The sequence below is a fragment of the Homo sapiens genome, chromosome 11, assembly GCF_000001405.40.
Source record: "Homo sapiens chromosome 11, GRCh38.p14 Primary Assembly".
In the NCBI taxonomy this organism is placed as follows: domain Eukaryota; kingdom Metazoa; phylum Chordata; class Mammalia; order Primates; family Hominidae; genus Homo; species Homo sapiens.
The window spans coordinates 85,336,926-85,364,698 of NC_000011.10; the positions used below are offsets into that span (position 1 = coordinate 85,336,926).

Below are 27,773 nucleotides of genomic sequence, written 5' to 3' on the forward strand. Positions count from 1 at the left end.
TAAGAAATACTGGCTTTAGGAAGTACTGGCTTCCACTGTAGTCATGATTTTCCTAGTTTGACACAAAAACTATTATTCACATGCTTTCTTAAAATACATAAATAAATAAAAGGCAAAAATGAGCTCTTCATTGAATCAACTGAACCAAAATTTGCGTAGTTCAATAAAGTTTAAATCATTCCGAAAGGCTAGGACACTTAAGTAATAATATGTGAGCCTAAACTATTAATTCGCAGCATAAATTCATCGTGGATCTTATTTCCAAATATAATTAAAATATATCTATGTCACTGAATTATTCTGTTAAAAATATTTTAATTCTTTTTCTTTTTCTTTTTTGTAGAGACAATGTCTCTCTGTATTGCCTAGGCTGGTCTCAAACTCCTAGCTTCAAGTGATCCTCCTGTCTCGGCTTCCCAAAGTGTTATGATTACACGCCTGAACCATCAGGCCTGGCTAGATATTCTAATTTTAATCTGATGTACACACTTCTAGGTAATGATTCCTAAACTTAGTGTTTATTAGAATTACCTCGGGTATTTATGTTAAAATGAAATTTCCTGGGATCCATATCAAAGTTTCTGAATCAGAATTATTGGGTGTAAGATGCAAGACTGTACATTTTTAGCAAACATCTTAGGTAACACAAAAAATTCCATCTCTAAAACTTTATTATTACAGGTGATTGCCAGCATGAGAGGATTTCTCTATCACAGTTCCAGAATGCCTAAGTTCATCTGCTTATGCTGATTAGGCTCAGTAAAGTCTAGATAAGTCCTTCCTGGTGCTCTACACTGGAAGAAAATATCTTTCGTCTACCATTTCTGCTTCTTTCACAATGACAAAACTGCCTAATGACCCTTTTCTCAAATACCCCATTGTTAAGTGAAGCATTGGTGTATTGAAGAAACAAAAACACTGCCAAATGTACCCAGGCAGATTTTCGAAAGAACAAATTAGAACATCTAGAAATATTAAATGTAATCATTAAAGTTAAAAATTCACTTGACTAGTTAAACTGAAGATTGTACATAGCTGCAGAAATAATTAATAAGGTGGAAGATAGTGCTAATATAAAAACTTACCCAGAATGCAGCTCAGAGTCACAAAGTAATAAGAAATATAAGAGAGACACAAGAAACATATAGCATATTCAACTACCTAAAGGAAAGAAGAGCAAGAATAAAAGAGAGGCAATATTTAAAGAGTTAATAGTAGAGAATGTTTTCAATAAATGCATCTTAAATGAAAATTATATTCTATTGTTAACTCTAGGGAAAAAAGGGAAATCCAAAAAGGAGTATTCTGTAAGACAATAAATAGTAGCAACCAAGTAACACAAGAAAAACGTAAATCAAAAGAATCTCACAATAAATTAAAAGGGAATTCATTTGGCATCAATACTTGGAACAGCATTTATGTACAAATCACTTTGTCCCCAGCTTGCAGTATTCAATTATGATAATGTTTTCACAGTTACTTAAATCAGTTCTTTTCTTTCCCATCCACTGCAGTGTGGTTAGGTCATCCATCTATAATACAATTAGGTTCATTTCTTAGTATTGATATTCCTTTGTGGGTTCAATCTATATCCTGGTTAGTGTTGTTTAGTTTGGTGGTGTGTGAAGGGTATCTGAAATATTACTATAGTAATATTTCCATATTACCAGATTATTTGAAAAGATATACTCAGATAAGTATATCACATCCTGCTACCTAAAGCCCACTGCATCACTTCCTTCCATCCTTTCCCACACACCCTCTGTGTATAAATAATTTTTTTTTTTTTTTTTTTTTTGAGACGGAGTCTTGCTCTGTCGCCCAGCTGGAGTGCAGTGACGCGATCTCGGCTCACTGCAGGCTCCGCCTCCCGGGTTCACTCCATTCTCCTGCCTCAGCCTCCTGAGTAGCTGGGACTACAGGAGCCCACCACCGTGCCCGGCTAATCTTTTGTACTTTTAGTAGAGACGGGGTTTCACCGTGGTCTCAATCTCCTGACCTCGTGATCCGCCCGCCTCGGCCTCCCAAAGTGCTGGGATTACAGGGGTGAGCCACCACGCCCGGCCATGTGTAATTAATTTATCTGGTTTCTGATATATCCTACCTGTATTTCCTTCACACAAATAAGCAGACATCTGTGTATTTTTTAGATCCCCTTATTTCTTACATAAAGAGTAGAATATTATATTTTTCTTTTGAGCTTTGCTTTTTTTATTTGACAGTGTGTTCTGAAAATGATACCATATCAGTCTGTACAGATCTTCCTTATTCTTTCTTAACAGATGTACAGTACTCCATGTGGATTTGCCATAGCTTATGTAGTTGCTCTCCTACATATGAACATGTAAGTTGTTTGCAATTTTTTATAATTAGAAACCATGCTATAATGAATAATTTTCTGCATATATATTTTTGTTTTATTGGAGTTATCTCTTTAGGATACATTGCTACAAGAAGGATTACTGGGCTGAAAGGTAAATGCACCTGTAATTTTTTACTAGGTATTGTCCATTTTCCCTCCAGAAGGGTTATATCAATTTGCATTGACATCACCAATATATGAAAATTTCTGTTTCTGCACAGCCTTGCAAATAGAATGTGTTATATTTTTTATAAGGGAAAAAATGATGTCTCAGTGCTATTTACATTTGTATTTCTCTAAATGAAAGTGAATTTGAGCATTTGTTCATATATTTCTGTGCCACTTTTATTTCTTGTGAATTTTCTGTTCTTATATTTTTCAAAAATTTTTATTGGCTTTTCAGTCATTTGTCCCTCAGTCTTTAAGACTTCTTTGTATATTAAGAATATTAGCCCTTTGTGGGCTAATATCCAGAATCTACAAAGAACTCAAACAAATTTACAAGGAAAAAGCAAACAACCGCATCAAAAAGTGGGCAAAGGATATGAACAGACACTTCTCAAAAGAAGACATCTATGGAGCCAACAGACACATGAAAAAATGCTCATCATCACTGGTCATCAGAGAAATGCAAATCAAAACCACAATGAGATACCATCTCACGCCAGTTAGAATGGAGGTCATTAAAAAATCAGGAAACAACAGATGCTGGACAGGATGTTGAGAAATAGGAATGCTTTTACACTGTTGGTGCTAGTGTAAATTGGTTCAACCATTGTGGAAGACAGTGTGGCGATTCCTCAAGGATCTAGAACTAGAATTACCATTTGACCCAGCAATCCCATTACTTGGTATATACCCAAAGGATTATAAATCATGCTACTATAAAGACACATGCACACATATGTTTATTGTGGCACTATTCACAATAGCAAAGACTTGGAACCAACCCAAATGCCCATCAATGATAGACTAAATTAAGAAAATGTGGCACATATACACCATGGAGTACTATGCAGCTATAAAAAAGGATGAGTTCATGTCCTTTGCAGGGACATGGATGAAGCTGGAAACCATCATTCTCAGCAAACTATCACAAGGACAGAAAACCAAACACTGCATGTTCTCATTCATATGTGGGAATTGAACAATGAGATCACTTGGACACAGGGCAGGGAACATCACACACCAGGGCCTGTTGGGCGGGTGGGGGCTGGGGGAGGGATAGCATTGGGAGAAATACCTAATGTAAATGATGAGTTGATGGGTGCAGTAAACCAACATGGCACATGTATACCTACGTATCAAACCTGCACATTGTGCACATGTACCCTACAACTTAAAGTATATAATTTTTAAAAAGGTAAAATTTTTTTAAAAAGAATATTAGCCCTTTGCCTGTGGTACAGGTTAAGAGTATTTTATTTATACATCAGATGTCCTTAATTTTGTTTATGGTGTTAGTTGTCATGCAATTGGTAGTCAAATTTATCAATCTTTTCTTTCGTTTTCTCTAGAATTTGAGTCATAGTAGAAAGCATTTCCCTGTATCAAGATGAAAGAGGAATTCATGCATGTTTCATTGTTGTACTTATAGGATTTCATTTCTTATATTTAGATCCCTAATTAATTTGGAGTGAACTTTTGTGTATGATGTGAGATATGGATCTAATTTTATCTTTTTCAAATTGCTACACAGTTATCTCAGAACCATTTATTAATGGTTGACTGAATTCTACTTGACTGAATTCTTTTCTTGTTGAGTTAATCATTGATTCTCTGAGGTAGAAGGTATGAAAATTTTGTGGCTTTTTCTTGTTTGTTTTTGTTTTGTTTTGTTTTGTTTTTTGAGACAGAGCCTCACTCTGTCGCCCAGGCTGGAGTGTAGTGGCACGATCTCAGCTCACTGCAAGCTCCACCTCCCAAGTTCATGCCATTCTCCTGCCTCAGCCTCCCGAGTAGCTGGGACTACAGGCACCTGCCAACATGCCTGGCTAATTTTTTTTGTATTTTTAGTAGACACAGGGTTTCACCGTGTTAGCCAAGATGGTCTCCATCTCCTGACCTCGTGATCTGCCCGCCTGGGCCTCCCAAAGTGCTGGGATTACAGGCATGAGCCACCGTGCCTAGCTGAAGTATGAAAATTTTATGTAACAGTGTATCATCTGCGAGTAAAGACAGTTTTATTGTTTCACCCGTTCTTGTGCCTCCAATTGATTTATCTTGCCTAATTGCATTGGCTGATTAATCTAGTACAATGCTTAATAGTAGTGAAGATAGTTGGCATCTGTACCTTAGTCCCGATCTTAGTAAAACTGCCACTAGTGTTTCTTGATTTTAAAACATACTTGTTTTAGGACAAAACAATCCTAAAATTGTACTTTTAGGACAAAAGTACAATCATGCATCATTTAACAATGAGGATACATTCTGAGAAATGTGTCATTAGGTGATTTCATCATTCTATAAAAATCATAGAGTGTACTTACACAAGCCTAGGTGATAAGGCCTGCTACACACTTACACTATATGGTGTAGCTTATTGCTCGTAGGCTACAAACCTGTACAGCATGTTATTGCACTGAATACTGTAGGCAATTATAGAACAATTATAAGTATTTGTGTATCTACACATACAAAAGATACAATAAACATATGGTAAAAAATATAACAAATGAGATATCTGTATAAGGCCCTTACCAGGAATGGAGCTTGTGGGACTCTGATGAGTCAATGAGTGAGTGGTGAGTGCATGTGAAGGCCTAGGACATTACTACACACCACTGAAGACATTATAAACACTCTAAACTTTGGTTACACTAAATTTATATTTAAAATACTTTTATTTCTTCAATAATTACATTAGCTTAATATAACTTTTTTGCTTTCTAATTTTTCTAATTTTTTAAACATTTTTACTCTGTTGTAATAACACTTAGCTTAAAATGCAAACACATTGTACAGTGGAACACCATGTTTTCTTTCTTTATATCCTTGTTTGTTAAGATTTTTTCTACCAATTTTTTTTTTACTTTTTAAACTTTTTTTGTTAAAAACTAAGACACAAACACACATATTAGCCTAGGCCTATATGAGGTCAGGATCATCAATGTCACTGTCTTCCACCTGCATATTTTGCCCCACTGGAAGGTGTTCAGGGGCATGGAGCTGTCATCTGCTTTGATAATAATGCCTTCTTCTAGAATACCTTTCTGAAGGAACTGCCTGAGACGGTTTTCCAGGTAACTATTTTTTTATATAAGTCAAAGGAGTACACTCTAAAAAATGATTTAAAAGTTTAGTACAGTAAACACATAAACCAGTAACACAGTCATTTATTATCATTATCAAGTATTACGTGCTGTGCATAATTGTATGTGCTAGACTTTTATACAACTGGCAGCACGGTAGGTTTGTTTATACCAGCATCGCCACAAACGCATGAGTAATGCATTGTACTATGACATTACAACAGCTACAATGTCACTAAATAACAGAAATTTTTCAGCTCCGTTATAATATTATGGGACCACCATCATATAAGTGCTCTGGCATTTACCAAAGCTTAATATGTGTATGTAAGGTGTGTAATAAAGTAATAACATACATGTATAATATATGTAATATGTAGAAATATACTAACACATATGTATCTAATGCACTTTTTTTATCTACTATGACTGTGTCCTCAGTTGGCTCTCTAAAAAGTAGTTCTCCCTAACTTTAATGCTGTTTCGTAATGTGAGTTTTTTCATTACTATTCTCTACCTTTATATGTCAATAAATTTTCAATTCCTCTAATATACAGTCTATATTCAAATTGCCCTAACTGTCTCAAAAATGTCATTTGAATGGCTTTGTCCAAACCAGTACAGAACCCAGGTTTATGTATTGCATTTGGTTATAATATCCATTGTGTTCTTTTAACCCAACACAATTCCATTATTTCCCATTTTTTCCCAGGAGACAGCCTTGCTGAAGGGACAAAACTAGTAGCCCTTCAGTGTGTCTTACCTTCTGAATTTGTCTAACTGCTACCAGAGTGACACTGAGCTTGTGCACTCTCTCCCCTATATTTCCTCTTTGTTTATCCCTCCCTAAACTAGATGGTGAACTTTTAATGGTCCAGGATTGTGACCTGTTCATTTTTGTATTTCCAGATTTAATACCATGCCTGACTCATGGTCAAGTTTTAGTGTCTTTTTTTAATTAAATAAAATATGTATTGAATAAACCTGTGAAAGAGCAGTCATTGCTAAAGTTACCAGCAAGCCTTGGCATTTTTTTCAGCTTATTATGACCTAAAAAGTTCACTTATGTGTGCACACGTTCTCTCTCTCTCTCTCACACACACACACGCGCGTACACGCACATACATACACACACACACACATATACACACTAGAACATATCATTTGAAAGTACAAAAAGAGAGTGATGATGTATGGTTTTTGAGGAAGGCGGAACCTGATAGAGCAGCGAGGAAAACCTTCTGAAGTGCAATGATAATGACAGTGATTATACAGTGTAAATGTTGCTATTAGGTGAGCAACAGGGAGTGTTTTCTTGGCAAATGGGCTTTGAGCGTAAATGTTTCCAGAAATCATACATCATTTCAGCAAAGAAAATTAGGATACAGATGCAGAATGGAAGTAATAAGCCACTCAATCACAGATTTGAAAAAGTGGATGTGAAGGAAGTTAATTTTTAAAAACAATAATAGCAGTATCTTATGTTTATAAATATACCAGGCAGATTAGTAAGCACCCAAAATAATCATCTTGAGACCTGATTCTAGTTCTCCCCCCATTGTGTGTTACTTTCAATAAAGCATTTTACTTCTTTGTACCTCTGTCCACCTATAAAATGCAAATAATACTTGCTATTGTCTTAAGTAGACCTGTTGGCTTCCTGAATCTGATCAATCTCATCATCCAAGGCAATGAAAGGAAGGTCTTCTTATGGGGCATCTTGGTCTTAGGCCCCAGTTCTTAGCTCCTGAGCTTCACCTTTTCTATGAGACTTTCTCAGGTGACTCATAGAGATTGTCCCTAATTGCCATCTCAAAAACTCGAGGCTTAGTTTTGTTACGGGAATTAGAGGGCTTCTTTAGAGCCTAATGACGGACAGAGGCAGAAATAAAGCCCAACATAAAGATACGTGAAATTCATTTCAATAGAATTTATATGATAACTACTTCATATAAAGAATTTATGATATAAATTCTATTCTCTTGCCCATGACTAGGCTCTCTGAACTTTTATTCAGTAAAAACTGTTTCCACTGTAGTTTCTTTTATTTCCTATTTAGATTATATTATGCAATATTGCTTATTCTAATAAGACACTATACAAAGTATAGTGATCTATCATTTTGATTGTATTTTCATAATTTCTCAAACTGCCTTCCAGGTGTTCCATTATGGATCCTACAGGCTATATTTTATAACTTGATTGATTTGCTTCTCATTTTTATTTAGTATTGCTGAGTTGGATTTCCCTTAAACATGTCATTAAATGTTTTTCAATTCCTGCTTACTCTTGTTTTTTTTCAAACTTCATTACTTCATTACAGAATTTATTTTAAATCTTAGAGAAAATAAAAAGTTGATAGTAACACCATATGCTACACACTGCTCAAGACAGAGCAATAAAGTTCAAATCAAATACATAATTTTAAACAAAAAAAAAACAGCAAAATACTGTACTTAAGTAGAATAGGTAGTAACTCAATACGGTTGGTTTCTATACTCCAGAAAGTCAAGTAAATAAAATATCTCCCATTATGTCAAGAGTAAAGAAGCACATTGAGGGTTGAAGTACAAAAGCCAACACTGTGAAAATAGACCATTTCAAATCATTATGCACACGGTCTCTTCATTCTTGTTATAAATCATACTAAATATTGCCAAAATTCATCTTGGAAGTTGCATAAGGATCATTCCTTAGAAAGATATTTACAGTAATCAATAGCTTTTGTGGAAGTATGGCATGTCTTGGTGCTCCTTGGGGCACAATATTGCTTAATTCTCCAAAGGGAGAACCCCCGACTCCCCAATTCAAAAGAACAGGCAAGTACATAGGGTGTGGCTTGATAGTGACGTTAAGAAGAAAAGGAAATTTACACATTGTTGAACCACTACCAGATGTCAGGTAGTACATAGTTTTACACATATTTTTTATTTTGAATTTCACAACAACCCTCTGAGAAATCTGAGACATACAGAAGTTGAGGAATTTGCATGATATCACACACCTGGCAGAAATGGAACCAGGATTCAAATTAGGTCTGTCTGGAAAGTCCATTATCCTTTCACTGGGCCATGCTGCATGGCTGCAAGACCTTTCATATTCCCATAAAATACATCCTTAACTGGTCTGCCTAAAAAGCAGCAATCATCCCTCTTTCATCCCTCTTTCTACTTGCCTGAAATTATTACCCCCATTAGCCTGATAATAGGATCAAGATGACAGGTTTTAGAAAAATTACCATTGAGAATTGTTACCCCAAAGAGCACAGCTGCATGCCTTTGTGTTGCCTTCTCCAGAGCAAAAGTTAGTTGATCACATATGATAACTATTGCTTTAAAAAAAACAAACGCCAAATCTGGTTTGTGTGCTTCGACAAATGAGATTCATGGTGTTACAGGGAAGAGGTCCCTATCCAGACCCCAAAAGAGGGTTCTTGGATCTCGTACAAGAAAGAATTCAGGGCGAGTCCACAGTGCAAAGTAAAAGCAAGTATATTAAGAAAGTAAAGTGGTGAAAGAACAGCTACTCCATAGACAGAGTAGGACGTTCCTGAAAGTCAGAGGAGGAACGCGTCCACCTTAGGTACGATGCTTGTATATATGAGATGTGCTCTGCTACAAGGGTTTGTGATAAAGGATTAATTTTCTTTCTTTTTTTTTTTTTCTTTGAGACAGAGTCTCGTTCTGTTGCCCAGGCTGGAGTGCAGTGGCGCTATCTCGGCTCACTGCAAGCTCTGCCTCCTGGGTTCACGCCATTCTCCTGCCTCAGCCTCCCGAGTAGCTGGGACTACAGGTGTCTGCCACCACGCCCAGCTAAATTTTTTGTATTTTTAGTAGAGACGGAGTTTCACCATGTTAGCCAGGATGGTCTTGATCTCCTGACCTCGTGATCTGCCCGCCTCGGCCTCCCACAGTGCTGGGATTACAGGCTTAAGCCACCGCGCCTGGCCAATTTTCTTAATTACTATATTTTGCAATAACCGATATTATTGTCTTTAAAGCAAAATTAAGAATGCCTTTGTTCTCCAGAAATCAGAATACGTAGACACTCCCAAGTCTGGGTCTGTTTAGTAAGCACTATTAATTTGTTCCCTTAACCGTAAACATCTAGAGGCAAGAAATGTCTAACTTTCTGAGAATGCAGCCCAGCAAGTCCTAGCCTCATTTTCCTAGCCCTCACTCAAAATGGAGTCGCTTTGGTTCAAACGCCTGTGACAATGGGACTGCAATAAGATGTTAAAAACAGTAAAGGACATCACAAAGAAAGGGCAAATAATGGTGAGGCATCCATTCCCTTAACAGGTGGGAGGCGGGAAGTAGTCAATGAATGGAGAAGGCAGACTGAGGGTCAGGATTTGTAGAATGGGGTTGTAGGCAAAAGGACACAGCCAGGAAATATGGAAGCTCTGGCCAAGGGTCAGGATAAAGACTTCACAGAAGTAGAGAAAGGAATCATAGGTGGGACATAAAAGGAAAATGCAACCACACATAAAAAGGAATTTCAAATCACCATTGCTCACCTCAAAATAGTCATTCCAAAAGTCAAAGAAACAATATAGATGTATGTATGTATAATGTATATATTCTTGTTCCACTTTGCCACTTTTGGGGGTGCAGAAAATAATCACCCAAATTATGACATTTGGGCATGCTGAGTGCTTTTGAAAACCGAAAGGCCTCAGAAATTAGTCTCAGAATCATGCTCCCCCTAAGCTTGTCTTGTTTCTCCCCCTGAAGCACAGGGAGGGGCTCTCTCTGGAATTTTCTAATCTGGCCAAGAAAGCTTCTTACTAAAAGAAACACAAGCGCCTTCTATCCACTCCCTGTTATCTGATTGCAGAAAATAAAACAAGAAAGCAACCAGACCTGGATGGACTTTTTAGCAAGACAATGCCTGCCTGTTGGGCTCATTCAAATTCCAAAGAAAATTATTTACAAATTAATTTCTGTCTCCTTGGTCCATTCATTCTTTCTAGTAATCATTTACTGTATGTCAAAAAACTGTCACATTTCCCCTCTCCTCTGTCCCCTATATAAAAGGGTATATAAGCTTCTGTACTCTACTGGGAGATTGAGGTAATCACCATGAACTCCCCCATGATGTTAATTAATCTGTATGCCTTTTTTTCCTATTGATCTGCCTTTTGTCAGTTGATTTTTTAGCAAAACTTCAGAGGGCAAAGGGGAAGTTTTCCCGTGTCTCCTACATAACTATTGACTTTTTCCCCCTATCAAGGGCATGGTACACTAAGAGGCACTCTTTTTTTTTTTTTTTTTTTTTTTTGAGAGCAAGTCTCACTCTGTCACCCAGGCTGGAGTGCAGAGGTGCAATCTCGGCACATTGCAGCCTCGACCTCCTGGGTTTAAGCAATCCGCTCACCTCAGCCTCCCAAGTAGTTGGGACTACAGACTCATGCCACCACACTTAACTTTTTTTTTTTTTTTTTTTTTTTTTTTTTTTTGAGACAGAGTCTCGCTCTGTTGCCAGGCTGGAGTGGAGTGCAGTGGCACAATCTTGGCTCACTGCAATTTCCGCCTCCCTGGTTCAAGCGATTCTTCTGCCTCAGCCTCTCAAATAGCTGGGACTACACGCGCATGCCACCATGCCCAGCTAATTTTTGTACTTTTTAGTAGAGACAGGGTTTCACCATGTTGGCCAGGATGGTCTCAACCTCTTTATTTTTTGTTTTTATTTCTTTTTTTTGAGACAGAGTCTCACTCTGTCACGAGGCTGGAGTGAAGTGGCACGATCTCAGCTCACTGCAACTTCAGCCTCCCAGGTTCAAGTGATTCTTCAGCTTCAGCCTCCTGAGTGGCTGGGACTACAGGCCCGCACCACCAAGCCCAGCTAATTTTTGTACTTTCTTAGTAGAGACAGGGTTTCATCATGTTGGTCAGGATGGTCTCAATCTCCTGACCTCGTGATCCGCCCGCCTCGACCTCTCAAAGTGCTGGGATTACAGGCATGAGCCACCATGCCTAACATAAGAAGCATTCTGAATTTATGATCAGAAGTTATACCAAGGCATTTAGCAGCCAACCGGCATTTTAAATTCAATGCCCCAAACTGAAGTTATTATCTCTTTCCCCCCTCCATGATTACCCCAAAATAGCAACCTAACTTTCCTGTACTTTCCTTTCCTTGGAGATAAAATTCTCATTGAATAGTGCAAGCCAGAAATTTAGGAGTCATTCCAGATTCTTTTGTCTACCTCACATTTACATCCAGTCAATCACTAAGTTCTGTCAATTATATCTCTAAGCATCTCTCCAGTCATCCCTTCATCTCCATCCCCATTAGTATATCTTGATTCACACTCATTATTTTTCATTTAAATTATTATAACACTGCTGACAGTATTCTTTCTAACATGCAAATTTGATTAATTTACTTCCCCTGTTTAAAAATCATTGAGTTGCTCATGTAAACCAAAAATAAAATTCTAAGCCCCCAACCAACTGAATGGACTCCTCCTCTCAGCCAAGGGCATTCCAAGTTAACCAGAAACACCAGTTCAGGCCATGATTGGAATGGGTGGTTGGACATGCCTCTTTATAGCTTTCTTTCTTTGGAATTCAGGCTCAACTGACCAGCATTAACATTAAAACAGAGACCTTAACTCTAACTGAGCAGACTGTTTGTAGATAAACAAATACAAGCATGACAGACAGCATTAACATTAAAACAGAGACCTTAACTCTAACTGAGCAGACTGTTTGTAGATAAACAATACAATAAAATACAAGCATGACAGACAGCAGACTCTGAAAGAAACACCAAAAGAAACACTAAGTGCCTTCTATCCACTACCTGTTACCTCATTATTTATAGCTGAAAAGAAAACTAAAGAATGCAACCACACCTGGATGGACTTTTTTTTATTATTATTATACTCAAAGTTCTAGGGTACATGTGCACAATGTGTAGGTTTGATACATAGGTATACATGTGCCATGTTGGTTTGCTGCACCCAACAACTCATCATTTACATTAGGTATTTCTCCTAATGCTATCCCTCCCCCAGCCCTCTACCCTCCAACAGGCCCCAGTGTGTGATGTTCCCCACCCTGTGTCCAAGTGATCTCATTGTTCAATTCCCACCTATAAGTGATAACATGCAGTGTTTGGTTTTCTGTCATTGTGATAGTTTGCTGGGAATGATGGTTTCCAGCTTCATCCATTTCCTTGTAAAGGACATGAGCTCATCCTTTTTTATGGCTGCATAGTATTCCATGGTGTATATGTGCCACATTTTCTCAATCCAGTCTGTCACTGATGGACATTTTGGTTGGTTCCAAGTCTTTGCTAGTGTGAATAGTGCTGCAGTAAACATACGTGTGCACGTGTCTTTATAGTAGAATGATTTATAATCCTTTGGGTATATACCCAGTAATGGGATTGCTAGGTCAAATGGTATTTCTAGTTCTAGATCTTTGAGGAATCGCCACACTGTCATCCACAATAGTTGAACTAATTTACACTAGCACCAACAGTGTAAAAGCATTCCTATTTCTCAACATCCTGTCCAGCATCTGTTGTTTCCTGACTTTTTAATGATTGCCATTCTAACTGGCATGAGATGGCATCTCATTGTGGTTTTGATTTGCATTTCTCTGATGACCAGTGATGATGAGCATTTTTTCACATATCTGTTGGCTACATAGACGTCTTCTTTTGAGAAGTGTCTGTTCATATCCTTTGCCCACTTTTTGATGCAGTTGTTTTTTTCTTGTAAATTTGTTTAAGTTCTTTGTAGATTCTGGATATTAGCCCTTTGTCAGATGAGTAGATTGCAAAAATTTTCCCCCATTCTGTAGGTTGCCTGTTCACTATGCTGGTAGCTTCTTTTGCTGTGCAGGAGCTTTTTAGTTTAATTAGATCCCATTTGTCAATTTTAGCTTTTGTTGCCATTGCTTTTGGTGTTTTAGTCATGAAGTCCTTGCCCATGCCTATGTCCTGAATGGTATTGCCTAGGTTTTCTTCTAGGGTTTTTATGGTTTTAGGTCTAACATTTAAGTCTCTAATCTATCTTGAATTAATTTTTGTACAAGGTATAAGGAAGGGATCCAGTTTCAGCTTTCTACGTATGGCTAGCCAGTTTTCCCAGCACCATTTATTAAATAGGCAATCCTTTCCCCACTTCTTGTTTTTGTCAGGCTTGTCAAAGATCAGATGGTTGTAGATGTGTGGTATTATTTCTGAGGCCTCTGTTCTGTTCCATTGGTCTATGTCTCTGTTTTGGTACCAGTACCATGCTATTTTCGTTACTATAGCCTTGTAGTATAGTTTGAAGTCAGGTAGCGTGATGCCTCCAGCTTTGTTCTTTTGGCTTAGGATTGTCTTGGCAATGCAGGCTCTTTTTTGGTTCCATATGAACTTTAAAGAAGTTTTTTCCAATTCTGTGAAGAAAGTGATTGGTAGCTTGATGGGGATGGCATTGAATCTGTAAATTACCTTGGGCAGTATGGCCATTTGCATGATATTGATTCTTCCTATCCATGAGGATGGAATTTTCTTCCATTTGTTTGTGTCCTCTTTTATTTCGTTGAGCAGTGGTTTGTAGTTCTCCTTGAAGAGGTCCTTCACATCCCATGTAAGTTGTATTCCTAAGTATTTTATTCTATTTGTAGCAATTGTGAATGGGAGTTCACTCATGATTTGGCTCTCTGTTGGTTTGTTAATGGTGTATAGGAATGCTTGTGATTTTTGCACATTGATTTTTTATCAGTCAAACTTTGCCAAAGCTGCTTATCAGCTTAAGGAGATTTTGGGCTGAGATGATGGGGTTTTCTAAATATACAATCATGTCAACTGCAAACAGGGACAATTTCACTTCCTCATTTCCTAATTGAATACCCTTTATTTCCTGCTCTTGCCTGATTGCCCTGGCAAGAACTTCCAACACTATGTTGAATAGGAGTGGTGAGAGAGGGCATTCTTGTCTTGTGCCAGTTTTCAAAGGGAATGCTTCCAGTTTTTGCCCATTCAGTATGATATTGGCTGTGGGTTTGTCATAAATAGCTCTTATTATTTTGAGATACGTTCCATCAGTACCTAGTTTATTGAGTTTTTAGCATGAAGAGCTATTGAATTTTGTCGAAGGCCTTTTCTGCATCTATTGAGATAATTATGTGGTTTTCGTTGTTGGTTCTGTTTACGTGATGGATTATATTTACTGATTTGTGCATGTTGAACCAGCCTCGCATCCCAGGGATGAAGCAAACTTGATCGTGGTGGATAAGCTTTTTGAAGTGCTGCTGGATTCAGTTTGCCAGTATTTTACAGAGGATGTTCATATCGATATTCATCAGGGATATTGGGCTAAAATTCTCTTTTTTTGTTGCGTCCCTGTCAGGCTTTGGCATCAGGATGAGGCTGGCCTCATAAAATGAGTTAGGGAGGATTCTCTCTTTTGCTATTGATTGGAATAGTTTCAGAAAGAATGGTACCAGCTCCTCTTTGTACCTCTGATAGAATCTGGCTGTAAATCCATCTGGTCCTGGACTTTTTTTGGTTGGTAGGCTATTAATTATTGCCTCAATTTCAGAGCCTGTTATTGGTCTATTCAGGGATTCAACTTCTTCCTGGTTTAGTCTTGGGAGGGTGTATGTGTCCATGAATTTATCCATTTCTTCTAGATTTTCTAGTTTATTTGCATAGACGTGTTTATAGTATTCTCTGATGGTAGTTTATATTTCTGTGGGATTGGTGGTGATATCCCCTTTATCATTTTTTATTGCGTCTATTTGATTCTTCTCTCTTTTCTTCTTTATTAGTCTAGCTAGTGGTCTACCTATTTTGTTGATCTTTTCAGAAAACCAGCTCCTGGATTCACTGATTTTTTGAAGGGTTTTTGTGTCTCTATCTCCTTCAGTTCTGCTCTGATATTAGTTATTTCTTGCCTTCTGCTAGCTTTTGAATGTGTTTGCTCTTGCTTCTCAGTTCTTTTAACTGTGATGTTAGGATTGATTTTAGATCTTTCCTGCTTTCTCTGGTGGGCATTTAGTGCTATAAATTTCCCTCTACACTCTGCTTTAAATGTGTACCAGAGATTCTGGCTACAGTAACCAAAACAGCATGGTACTGGTACCAAAACAGAGATATAGACCAGTGGAACAGAACAGAGCCCTCAGAAATAATACCACACATCTACAACCATCTGATCTTTGACAAACCTGACAAAAACAAGAAATCGGGAAAGGATTCCCTATTTAATAAATGGTGCTGGGAAAACTGGCTAGCCATATGTAGAAAGCTGAAACTGGATCCCTTCCTTACACCTTGTACAAAAATTAATTTATGATAGATTAAAGACTTAAATGTTAGACCAAAAACCATAAAAACCCTAGAAGAAAACCTAGGCAATACCATTCAGGACATAGGCATGTGCAAGGACTTCATGTCTAAAACACCAAAAGCAATAGCAACAAAAGCCAAAATTGACAAATGGGATCTAATTAAACTAAAGAGCTTCTGCACAGCAAAAGAAGCTACCATCAGAGTGAACAGGCAACCTATAGAATGGGAGAAAATTTTTGCAATCTACCCATCTGACAAAGGGCTAATATCCAGAATCTACAAGGAACTTAAACAAATTTACAAGAAAAAAACAAACAACCCCATCAAAAAGTCGGCAAAGGATATGAACAGCCACTTCTTAAAATGAGACATTTATGCAGCCAACAGACATGTGAAAAAATGCTCATCATTACTGGCCATCAGAGAAATGCAAATCAAAACCACAATGAGATACCATCTCACACCAGTTAGAATGGTGATCATTAAAAAGTCAGGAAACAACAGATGCTGGAGAGGATGTGGAGAAATAGGAATGCTTTTACACTGTTGGTGGGAGTGTAAACTAGTTCAACCATTGTGGAGGACAGTGTGGCAATTCCTCAAGGATCTAGAACTAGAAATACCATTGGACCGAGCAATCCTATTACTGGGTATATAACCAAAGGATTATAAATCATGCTGCTATAAAGACACGTGCACACATAGGTTTATTGCAGCACTATTCACAATAGCAAAGACTTGGAACCAACCCAAATGTCCAGCAATGATAGACTGGATTAAGAAAATGTGGCACATATACACCATGGAATACTATGCAGCTATAAAGAAGGATGAGTTCATGTCCTTTGTAGGGACATGGATGAAGCTGGAAACCATCATTCTGAGCAAACTATCTCATGGACAGAAAACCAAACACTGCATGTTCTCACTCATAGGTGGGAATTCAACAGTGAGAGCACTTGGACACAGAGTGGGAAACATCACACACTGGAGCCTGTCATGGGGTGGGAGGAAGGGGGAGGGATAGCATTATGAAAAATACCTAACGTAAATGATGAGTTAATGGGTGCAGCACACCAACATGGCGCATGTATACATGTGTAACAAATCTGCACGTCGTGCACATGTACCCTAGAACTTAAAGTATAATTAAAAAAAAAAGAAATTCCTTAATAAAAAAAAAAAACTAAATCATAATAGAGTCACTGCAGTATTTCACTTGGAGGAATCAGATGTATGCCTAGGTCCTCTCGCACTATTCATTTTTTTCTATGCCTCATCTTTCGTGCCCCACTACCCTATATCTCCACAAAATAAAGGAGATAAAAAAGTGATTTCCAACTTTCAATCTTTTAGTATCATAGCAGTTTTAAGCCAAAAATTATCTCATGTCTTTGAATAATTTCAAGACATAACGTAAAAATTGATATAAATTAAAACTAACTTAAAAAAATGATTTAAGTATTTATTGTCTCCTATACACCAACCACACTCATCAGATATTACCTACATTTATTTATATATATAATCACTCAAAACTCAGATATACGACAGTCACTCTCCTGCATGAGAAGAACAAAGGGGAAGGCCTATAAATTTTCACAATGTCACCTTCTTATAAAGTCATTATTTCCTTCCCCTTGTTCTTCAGGGGTATTCCAAGTCTCCAGCTTTCACAATTCCTGGGTCTTATCTCATGAAGGAGCCAATACATTTTTTTTTTCATGATAGCAAATGTGCCACATCTATCATCTGATTTGGATCTAATTTATCTGAGGGTTGAATATCATCTTGATCTTTGGTTTAGTACTTGGTATGCTGACATTTTGTTGAGAAACTGCCAAATCATTACCAGGAGCACCACATTTGACTGATTTCCAACGTCACTGTTTCTCTCTCTCTCTCTCTCACACACACACACACACATACACGCATGTGCACACTTACCCATTCTTATGAATATTAATTTTTCAAATGCTTTTTTGGCTGGTCTTCCCCACATTTCACATATATCTTAGAACAGAGGAACAGAAGACACTACAAAAGTGAAAGATAATTAACTCTTGTCTCTTCGTTTCATAAATTAAAAAAAAAACAGATAACATTTCTTGCCAAAGGATTATAGCCCAGTACTTTGGATTTTTAGTTTTAAAAATTTGTGACATCATGCTATTTTGTTTTTTGCACATTTTTGGCAAATTTTGACAATATATTTTCTATTTATAATATGCCATTTAATAAATCAGGCTTTAATGTTATAATACATGAAATTTTTGTGGTATATACACAATTTATACTAAATAGTTCAGTGCTCAGCACAAGAAGATGATCAATTGATCAGTTGATTGAATAAAAGATTGAATATTCACTGAGTTTTCATTATGTGCAAGGTATTTTTCTAGGCATAAAAGATTTGATTAGCACTTTTATTGAAATTAAATCAAATATATGGAAAATGATCTGTTAATTACTTTAAAACATTTTTAAAATGAGTGTGGGGTTTTCTGGATTATTATCCATTATTTTCTTTATATTTTACTTTCTTTTTTCCAAAAATACCTATCTTTTTAAATGACAATCAAACATACTCCCTGTGAATTTAATATATTAAAGAATACTTATCAAGATTCTTCCTAAATTTTGATTAGTCAGTTGCTCATGTTTAAAAGAAATAAATGGTCTAATCAACTTTAAATTATACTAGGTTTCTCATAACAGCTTTGTTGCTGATAAGAAGCCTAGTTGAGATTTATGTGTTTAACAATAAAGGAAAAGCTGTACTTTTGTTTGAGGCATGTGCTTTAAAGACAAAAGGACTAATTTTTTATTTTTAATAAAATGTTAATGAAAATTTCTAGATAGTCCAATATCAGGCATCCCAAGCTCCAGCAAAGGCTGGATAACAATATATATAACCATATATATAGGATAACAATTTCCCATGATTCCTTGTTAATGTGGCCCTGTTTGCTATCCAAGACTAAGAGTTTAATCTCCAAGTCGAATCACCCTTGGGTTTCCTCTAAAAACAAAATTGCTCAACTAGCTAATGAGATTGTCCTTTTCCAACATTTGTCAGCTATTTACTGATCTACCTATCTGCCTTTGAGAAGCTGGGCTGTGATCCATCTTGCACAGATCACCAAACACCCACCAAAGGGTAATAGCTTTAGCTCTTTAGACCCAGAGCTTAGAGATGAAAGAATCTGAATCTCATTTTAAACTGCCTGAACTATCCATTTAATCAGATTAAAGCCAATTTCATATTGCACATAAAAAGTTATAAGAAAAAGAGGCAGAAGAGCCACAGACTCTCCATTTGTTGCCTTTTTCTGGGAAATCATTCTCTAAATACACAGTCTTCATCTTCAGCTGCTATAGCTCATAGTAATTCCATATTCTTTTTTTACTCCTGCTTATACAATGCCCTTGCTGAATAATTTTTCCTCTTCAGAGGCATTTTTGCCTTTAACACAGTATGATACTTTATAGTCTGTTTACTTCAAACTGAGGAGTAACAGAATTTGTCCTTTTTTTTTTACATAATGATGAGGAAAGGGAGTCACACTTGATACTGAGAGTTGAAAATGTAAAGTGAAAATGCAAGCTCCTAGAGTACAAAGAAATATTTATGGAATTATTATGAGACAGAGATCCAATTTTGATAAGTCTGGTATAGACCTATTATAGTGAGACATTCAAAACAAGAGAACCACAAACTGTGTTCACTTACAACAAAGAATGATATGAATTTCTACAGCAGCATTTTATTCCTTGAGCATGTACTAGTCCATTGATCAGTCAATGATCTCAAGCTTTTATTTTTTCATATTTACAAAAGAGGTAGAATTCTTGCTTTTCAGTGTATGAGCTCCAAGAGGGCAGGAATCATGTCTACTTTGTTTACTACAGCATGCCCAGAAAGAAACAGTAGGTAAGTAGATAGATAGATAGATAGATAGATAGATAGATAGATAGATAGATAGATAGAGATGATAGACAGACACACACTCTTTCATTTTGCTCAGTGAAAATTGTTTCACTTATTCCACCCCCACTCCTCAACAGTGTGTTTCCAGAATGTGGTTAAAAGGCTTAGGAAGCAGAATATTTTACTGGGAAGCTTCTGGGTTCTTATGTCAGTCAAACCTAAGTTTCAAATTCATGTATATAATATTTGGCAATTTACAGAACTTAATTAGGCCTGTGTCTCTTATAGAAATGGCACCAAGTAGGTGCTCAATAAATTGTAACTATTAGTACTTTTTAAAATGATTTTTAGAAGGTGAGGACAGGAGGAGAAGCAAGTCACAGAGCAGCCTGCATTTCCTTTTCACTATGCATACCTCCAAAAAGATAAGGTTTGAGAGCAACCTATCAGATTCCTTTCAATATCCTCTTTGTGTGTGTGTGTGTGTGTGTGTGTGTGTGTGTGTGTGTGTGTGTGTGTGTTCATGCCATTCTCCTGCCTCAGCCTCCCGGGTAGCTGGGACTACAGGTGCCCGCCACCATGCCCAGCTAATTTTTTGTATTTTTAGTAGAGAAGGGTTTTCACCGTGTTAGCCAGGATGGTCTCAATCTCCTGACCTCGTGATCCACCCACCTCAGCCTCCCAAAGTGCTGGGATTACAGGCGTGAGAATATCCTCTCTCCTTTAAGTAGTTGGAGGTGGCACTGTTGTAATTGTTTTTATTCTTATCTATGACTACAAGTCTTCTGATCTAGTTTGCTGGCTTCCTCTTTTCCTGACACTTAAAAGTCAATAGTGGCTAAATTTATTATTCAGCCAAAGGTTATCTTTCTTGTAAGAATTTGGAGGCTAATATGGCTACTATATATGTACAATACGCCAGGCACTGTTCTGAATTATATATATATATATATATATATATATATATATATATATATATATATATATATATATTTTATACTTTAAGTTCTAGGGTACATGTGCACATTTTATCCTCATGACAACTGTTAGAGGTGAATGTTATATTGCTCTTCTTCCTCTCAATTTGCAGATGAAGAAATTGAAGAACAGGAAGGATAATCTATCATCACAAAACTAGTAAACAGAAGTATTAGGATTCAAATCAGGCAGTCTGCCTCCAAATTCTACCTATGTTCTGAGCTACTATGCTAGAGGTTATCTCCAAGAACTTAGAAATAAAGGAAAAGGATCAGCCTCTGAGAATTAAACCCTAAGATGGTGATTAAGAGATTAGAAAAGAAATATGGAAAATCGCCTGAAAAACAAAAAAAAGAACAGAAGGGAAGAAGAGAAGAAGGAAAAAAATGACTTTTCAACCATGGCACCTGACTGTAAACTTTTTTAAAAAAATAGTTGGAATGAAAGTTATTAGCTAACAAGACATTTAAAAAGAAATCACAGAAGTAGATACTGGGATTTTTCACTTCAATTACATGGTGTTCATATTTTGACAGACAACCACAGCTCCCTCACTCTCTGTGTTTACTCTCTTTCTACCAGGTTTCCCATGTGGCTTTCAACTTAAATAACACCCTCTACAAGCAGTCTGCACTGACTAATCCAGATCCCAGTCTTTTCCTCTAATTTTCCATAGTATTTAAATCTGGGCTGCTCATGTATTTACCCATTCAGACAACAAATATTTGAGCACTGAACCATGCTCTAAAAATTATTGCAATATTCAAAACCAGAGATAATGAGGTGCTGAACCAGGGCAGTGAAAGGGATGCTGTGTTCAAGTGTTCAAGGCAAAGACTATAAAATCAGAGCCAGTATAATTTAGCACATGCTATATATTGTCTTGCAGTGTTCCAAATTGCTTCAAGTGTTATCAATAATGTCTTCTGAACCAGATGTAAACTTCTAGCTGGAACCAAACACTGAATCTTAAATTCTTTCAAATACTCAGAATAGTGTGGCAATTAGTAGATATCTGATAAATAATTGCTTATTGAATGTACACAGATACAACTTAAGGAGCCATTACCCTTCTCTTTATAAGACAATGGTAGATTTTAACAACTTCTTGTTGGCTTCCTCAGTTTAAAACAAAATGGCATCTATTTCCTCACAGCTAATTACTTTTTTTCTTTATCTTACCTAAGTTTTTTTCTCTTCAGAACTCACTACTCTGCGCTTTATCTAAATTTATACTAGATTTGCCATTTGTTAATATAAGAACCAAAAATTTAAAAACCTCCAGGAATGCAATTTCAGCAAATTATTTAGTGAAAAGCAGATAAAGCCTTGATCTTCCCTAGACTATGCAAAGACATTGTTATCACACGAATAATTTACACAGTCTCATTAAGTTGGCTTTTAACCTCATGTCCCAATGGGTGGAGTTCACTTCAGATTCTCTAATGAACACATCTTCAAGCTCAAGATAGCTCAATGCTCAGTGGTAATTAGGATTAGATGAATGGAAGCAATCCGCTTCATTCAACATATGTCTTCACTCTATAAAATTCCACCAAGTATAAGAAGATTAATTTAAGCCTACCTTTCAACCAGCAATTAACAAAAACAAACCATAAGTTCTCAACCTTAAAGGGAAAAATAATTGTATTTTCAGAGATCAGAGCAAGATAAGAATAGGAAAAACTACTTTACTAAAATCTATACCCTTTCAATATCAAGCTGGTCATTATAATTTGTTCAAGAAACATTTAATCACAAATCTGATGTGTACATAGTGCTATGCTGAGCACTGTGGGAGAAATAAAGATCAATAAGACATGGCTCTTGCCCTTAAGCACCTCTTAATCAACTAGAGGTGATATGCACAACAAATAATTGTTTAACATGGTTGTAATTATGCTGTAGTATAATTAGAGAGCTGACAGTTCAGGCAATGCTCTTTAATAAGAAACATGATATGACAGCAAACACCATAGGGGAGGGCGCAACAACGTGAACAAAACAATAAGAAACTCAATGACTGTTAAAGTAGGGTGGTGAAGGAGTACTACAGAGGAGTAGAATACATTATAGCACAAAAAAAGGAAGAGGTTCTCCCCGTCACACACAAAAGAAAAGAAGATTTGGGTGATGAGACATGATCATGTCTAAAGAACTATCGTGTGAAAAAAATGGTTTATATAACCAAGTGTTCTCCAGAGGATGGAGCTTACAACATGAGAAAAATTATCAGAGAGACTCATTCTCTCTATACTCAGCTCACACACCCTGCATACTCAGGGCGTGTGCTGAAGCAGAGCGAAAGATTACCCACAGGCATTATACAGATGATCCCTGTGCTGTGTGAAGGATTCAGTTGGACGGAAAAGTCCTCTACAATTCAAAACTCCTGTGGTATGATTTTTAACACACTTGTCAGCGGTTTCTAGTTGTCAGTTTAGAAAACAAGGGTTTTAAAATAAAAGTACGCAATACACTGTAACAACTGAGAATATAGGCTGTAATGTCTGAAAGGCTTCCATTCTTCTAATCACTAGGTGTGTAACTTTGAGTGTGGCTTAGCCTTTTTGTGCTTCCGTTTCCTCACCTGTAGGAGGAGAATAATATTAGGGCTTAAGTCACATAATTGTTCTTAGGATTAAATGACATAAGACATGTAAAAAGCCTAGCACAATGTTCTGTAAGCATTTAGTACATGGTAAGTTTTGTTATTAGCCGGGTCTTACCTTCACTACTATTCTTCTACAACCCAGTTCATCCTCCTCATAGCTGTAAGTCTTATTTTTGCTTAGAATCAGTCAGGGCCACCTCTTCACTGGAGAATGCTGTCCTAACTGATTAGTTTGGTCTGATCTTCTCCGTGGAGTCTTATCTTTGACTTTTATCCCACCACACAGGAGGCTCCTTCCAAATTGCTTCCAGTTTTAAATTACCAGGATGCTTCAAACTTTGCTCACACTTTCAACTTTACTGGAAGTGTCCTCCCCTTCTCCCAAGCTAAGAGTGATTCAACTTCAAAATTCTCTTCCAGGACGCCCTTCTCAATAAAATCTCTCCTGGTATCAACATAAAATTGAACACAGAAGAAGTCTTCATACAAGTGAGGAAATGAAAGCTCAGAAAAGTTAACTTAGCCAAGGTCACCAACTTATAAATGACTACAGTGGTAATAATAGTAGTAATAGCAAAAATACCTTACATGTATAGAGAGTCTCATTGTATGTAAAGCTCTTCCCTATAGTATTTCATTGTATTTTTACAGCTCTATGAAAAAAAAATAAAATCTTCTTCTTTTTTATGGATCAGGAAAACAGAGAGTCTGAGTGACTTGTACAAGGTCACACAATTTGTCTTGTTAAAGGCACAGTCATGCCAGATCCCAGACCCCAGATTCTGTTATTCTTGGTCCACAAACTTTTTTCTTTAGACAAAGTCTCACTCTGTCACCCAGGCTGGAGTGCAGTGGCACGATCTTGGCTCACTGCAAACTCCGCCTCCCTGGTTCAAGCAATTCTCCTGCCTCAGCCTCCCGAGTAGCTGCTTATTCCACAGACTTTTCTATTTTTTTTTTTAATTTTTATATACTTAGGGGGTACAAGTGCAGATTTCTTACATGCATACATTCTGTAGTGGTGAAGTCTGGGCTTTCAGTGTACCCATCACCCAATACTGAACATTGTACCCAATAAATAATTTTTCAACCCTCACCCCCTCCCACCTTTTGGAGTCTCCAATGGCTATTATTCCACTCTGCATGTCCATGTGTACGCATTGTTTAGTTCCCTCTTGTAAGTGAATACATGTGATATTTGACTATCTGTTTCTGAGTTATTTCAGTCAGGATCATGGCCTCCAGTTCCATCCTTGTTGCTGCAAAAGACATGATTTCAGGACTTTTTATATAGCTGAGTAGTATCCACAGCATGTGCGTATATACGCTGTTTTGGTCACTATAGCCTTGTAGTTTAATTTGAAGTCAGTAATGTGATGCCTCCAACTTTGATCTTTTAGCTCAGGATTTCTTTGTGTATTTGGGCTCCTTTTTCGTTCCTTTTGAATTTGGGGATTGTTTTTTCTAATTCTGGGGAAAATGACATTGGTAATTTGATAGGGATTGTGTTGAATCTGTAGATTGCTTTGGACAGTGTGGTCATTTTAAGATACCGATTCTTCCAATCCATGAGCATGGGATTTTTTTCCATTTGTTCTTGTCATCTATGATTTAGTTCTCTTTTTTTGAGACAAAGTCTTGCTGTGTCACTGAGGCTGGAGTGCAGTGGTGCAATCATGGCTCACTGCAGCCTCGACCTCCCAGGCTCAAGTGATCCTTCCAAGTAGCTGGGACTACTGGCATGGACCAGCACACCTGTCTAATTTTTGCATTTTTGTAGAGAGGGAGTCTCACTATGTTGCCCAGGCTGGTCTTGAACTCCTGGGCTCAAGCCGTTTCCCACCTTGGGCACCCCAAGTGCTGGAATTATACGCATAAGCTATCATGCCCAGCCTCCTGTGATTTGTTTATTTTTTGTAGTTCTACTTATAGAGATCTTTTGCCTCCCTGATTTAATATGTCCCTAGGTTTTGTTTGTTTGTTTGTTGTTTGTTTTTGGGTTTTTTGGGTAGCTATTGTTAATGAGATTGCCTTCTTGATTTGGTCCTCAGATAGATCACTACTGGTGTATAGAATGCTACTGATTTTTTTATGTTGATTTTGTATCCTGCAGCTTTACTGTATTCATTTATCGAATCTCAGAGTTTTTTTGGTGGAGTCTTTAGAGTTTCCTAGATATAAGATCATATCATCAGTGAGCAGAAATAATTTGACTTCCTCTTTTCCAATTTGGATGCCTTTTTTTTTATTTTTTTTTAATGCCTGATTGCTCTGGCAAGGACTTCCACAGACTTTTCTTTACAAAACATGCCATTTTGTAAATAAGTGAAATTATTCCTTTTAGTAAATAAATGAAATTATTCCTTTTTTATCTTTGACCTCTCAGGGATGATATTTTTCTTTTTTGAAATTATTGAATAAATGAAAAAACAAAAATGACTCAATTTATTTTGTTGATACTGAGTATCTTATTCTAAAACTTTGAGCATGTCAAGGACACAGGAATAAAGTTGAGGAGCAGCCTTTAATAAAAGCAAAATTTTCTCTCTAAAAATTACTGAGCTAACTGCAAAAGCATCACTAATTTGCCAGGACTAAAGGTAGAGCTGGTTTAATGACAGGCATAGTAACAAAGCTTGCACACACTGTCACAGAAGATGCAAAATTTCACAGTTAACTAACTAGATTGAACCTTAAAACAATTAGTGAACAAAAGAGTGTTGTGATTTCTGGAGCAGTGGGGTTAGGAGTCTTCGGCAAGTACCAAATTATCCACACAGTTTACATATTTTAGAACATCTGAAGAGTAAGTGAAACCATCATGGTATTTACTAGGCACAAACTGACTTATCAATTAAATGCAATGTCCTACTAAGAAGAAATACAGGAAATGCAGAGACTGCCTCTGTGCGTAATCTTCTATAAATTTCCCAGGAGTTTTTAGTAAGCTATTCTCCTATTAAGGAAGCTGTCAAACAGCTAGAATAATGAAGGGGAATGGAAAGGAAAGGAGGCTTGAACAGATAGAGGAAGAGTTTTTGAAAAACAAACAAGTCTCTAAAATTTACATTAAGGATGACGATTTCTTCTAATTGTAGGAAGACATCTATGGTTAACTATGTTGTCTAATATTAGTAAGAAACTTGAGTTATTTATCTCTGCCAGATAATACACAGACATTCATCTAGCTAAAGTTCTAAATTAGCAGTGCCTAACATGTTGTAGGAGCTCAATCTTTGAAAATAAATAAGAGAAAGGACCAATTTAATCCTGAAGGTTCACTGTGAATGGTAAATACATTTCAAAAACTATATTTTACCTTTTAAGTACCTACTATGTAACAGACATCATGCTAGGATCTAGTCATTTGGAAAAAATTTTAAGTGCTTTGGCATTTTAATGTTCATAAGACATGGAAATGTTCATTCATCTTTTCATATAGTTGTCAAAGTATAACAATGGTTACTGAGGATAAATTCAGAGTCCCTCTTCCCATGCAATGCAGGGAAATTATAGTTTGTATATTACAAGTTGACAGCATCATTTCTCATATGGTTTGCAGGATGATTGGTTCATAGGATTAAAGTGGGTCTAGTCTTTTCCAGTCTTAAAACAAAAGTCATGTTTCCTATTATTAATAGAAGATTTGTCAGAAAGTATATATAATTGTATTAGCAGTTGGTGCTGAAGACCAATGTTCTACAGATGAGCTGGGTTATAACAAGGTTCTTTCATTTCTGCAGTAATAAGCACCTTGGCTGAGGTCCAGCTATGTTTCTACTTATAGAAAAAAAATCACTAATGCCTAAAAATATAGGTATTTGTATCAGTATCTAGAATGATCTTGTTAAGATGGTGTAGCAAACACTGTCTATGCCCCCAACCATATTCCTTAGGCCTTACTATTATGGTGCAAGCCAGACTTCCAAACTGCCTTAGGGCTTTTTCTGGAGCTAAAGTCCACTCTGCCAGTATGCAGAGCAGACTGGAGTACCAGGGAATCAAGAGATACTCCTTCCCACTAAGAAGCAGCCCTTAACTAATAATTGACAGGGATTAGTATATAATAAATACCCTAGCTGCTTCGTCACTGTGGGTGACAGAGATATAATTAATTGAGGCTGACTGATTCTACACTGACACATGGAGTTGCCAGTGAGATTAAGGTACTAGCTTGTTAATGCATCCTTTATTAGCTACCTTACCTTCCCTGCCTTTTTTCCTTACTGCCCTTCTGATGCTTTCTGGGATCATCTCTGAAAAAAACCATTTAAACATAAATGTGAATACTTGTTTGGGGGCCTCTTCTTGGGGAACATAAACTAGACAGAATTGTTA

General features: G+C 36.9%; 1 protein-coding gene across 13 annotated transcripts in view, besides 1 other annotated feature; it reads right to left on the reverse strand.

The window, feature by feature from the left end:
- DLG2 (discs large MAGUK scaffold protein 2) overlaps positions 1-27,773 on the reverse strand; it is a 2,173,362-nt gene that overhangs the window by 1,881,914 nt on the left and 263,675 nt on the right. The gene's annotated exons all lie outside the window — the stretch shown is intronic.
- Positions 11,970-12,791: an enhancer, noted in NCBI's record as "OCT4-NANOG-H3K27ac hESC enhancer chr11:85059939-85060760 (GRCh37/hg19 assembly coordinates)". NCBI's record gives its function as "activates a minimal SCP1, AML or CMV promoter by ChIP-STARR-seq in naive H9 embryonic stem cells {active_cell/tissue: H9 hESC(naive)}" and the evidence as "EXISTENCE:reporter gene assay evidence [ECO:0000049][PMID:30033119]".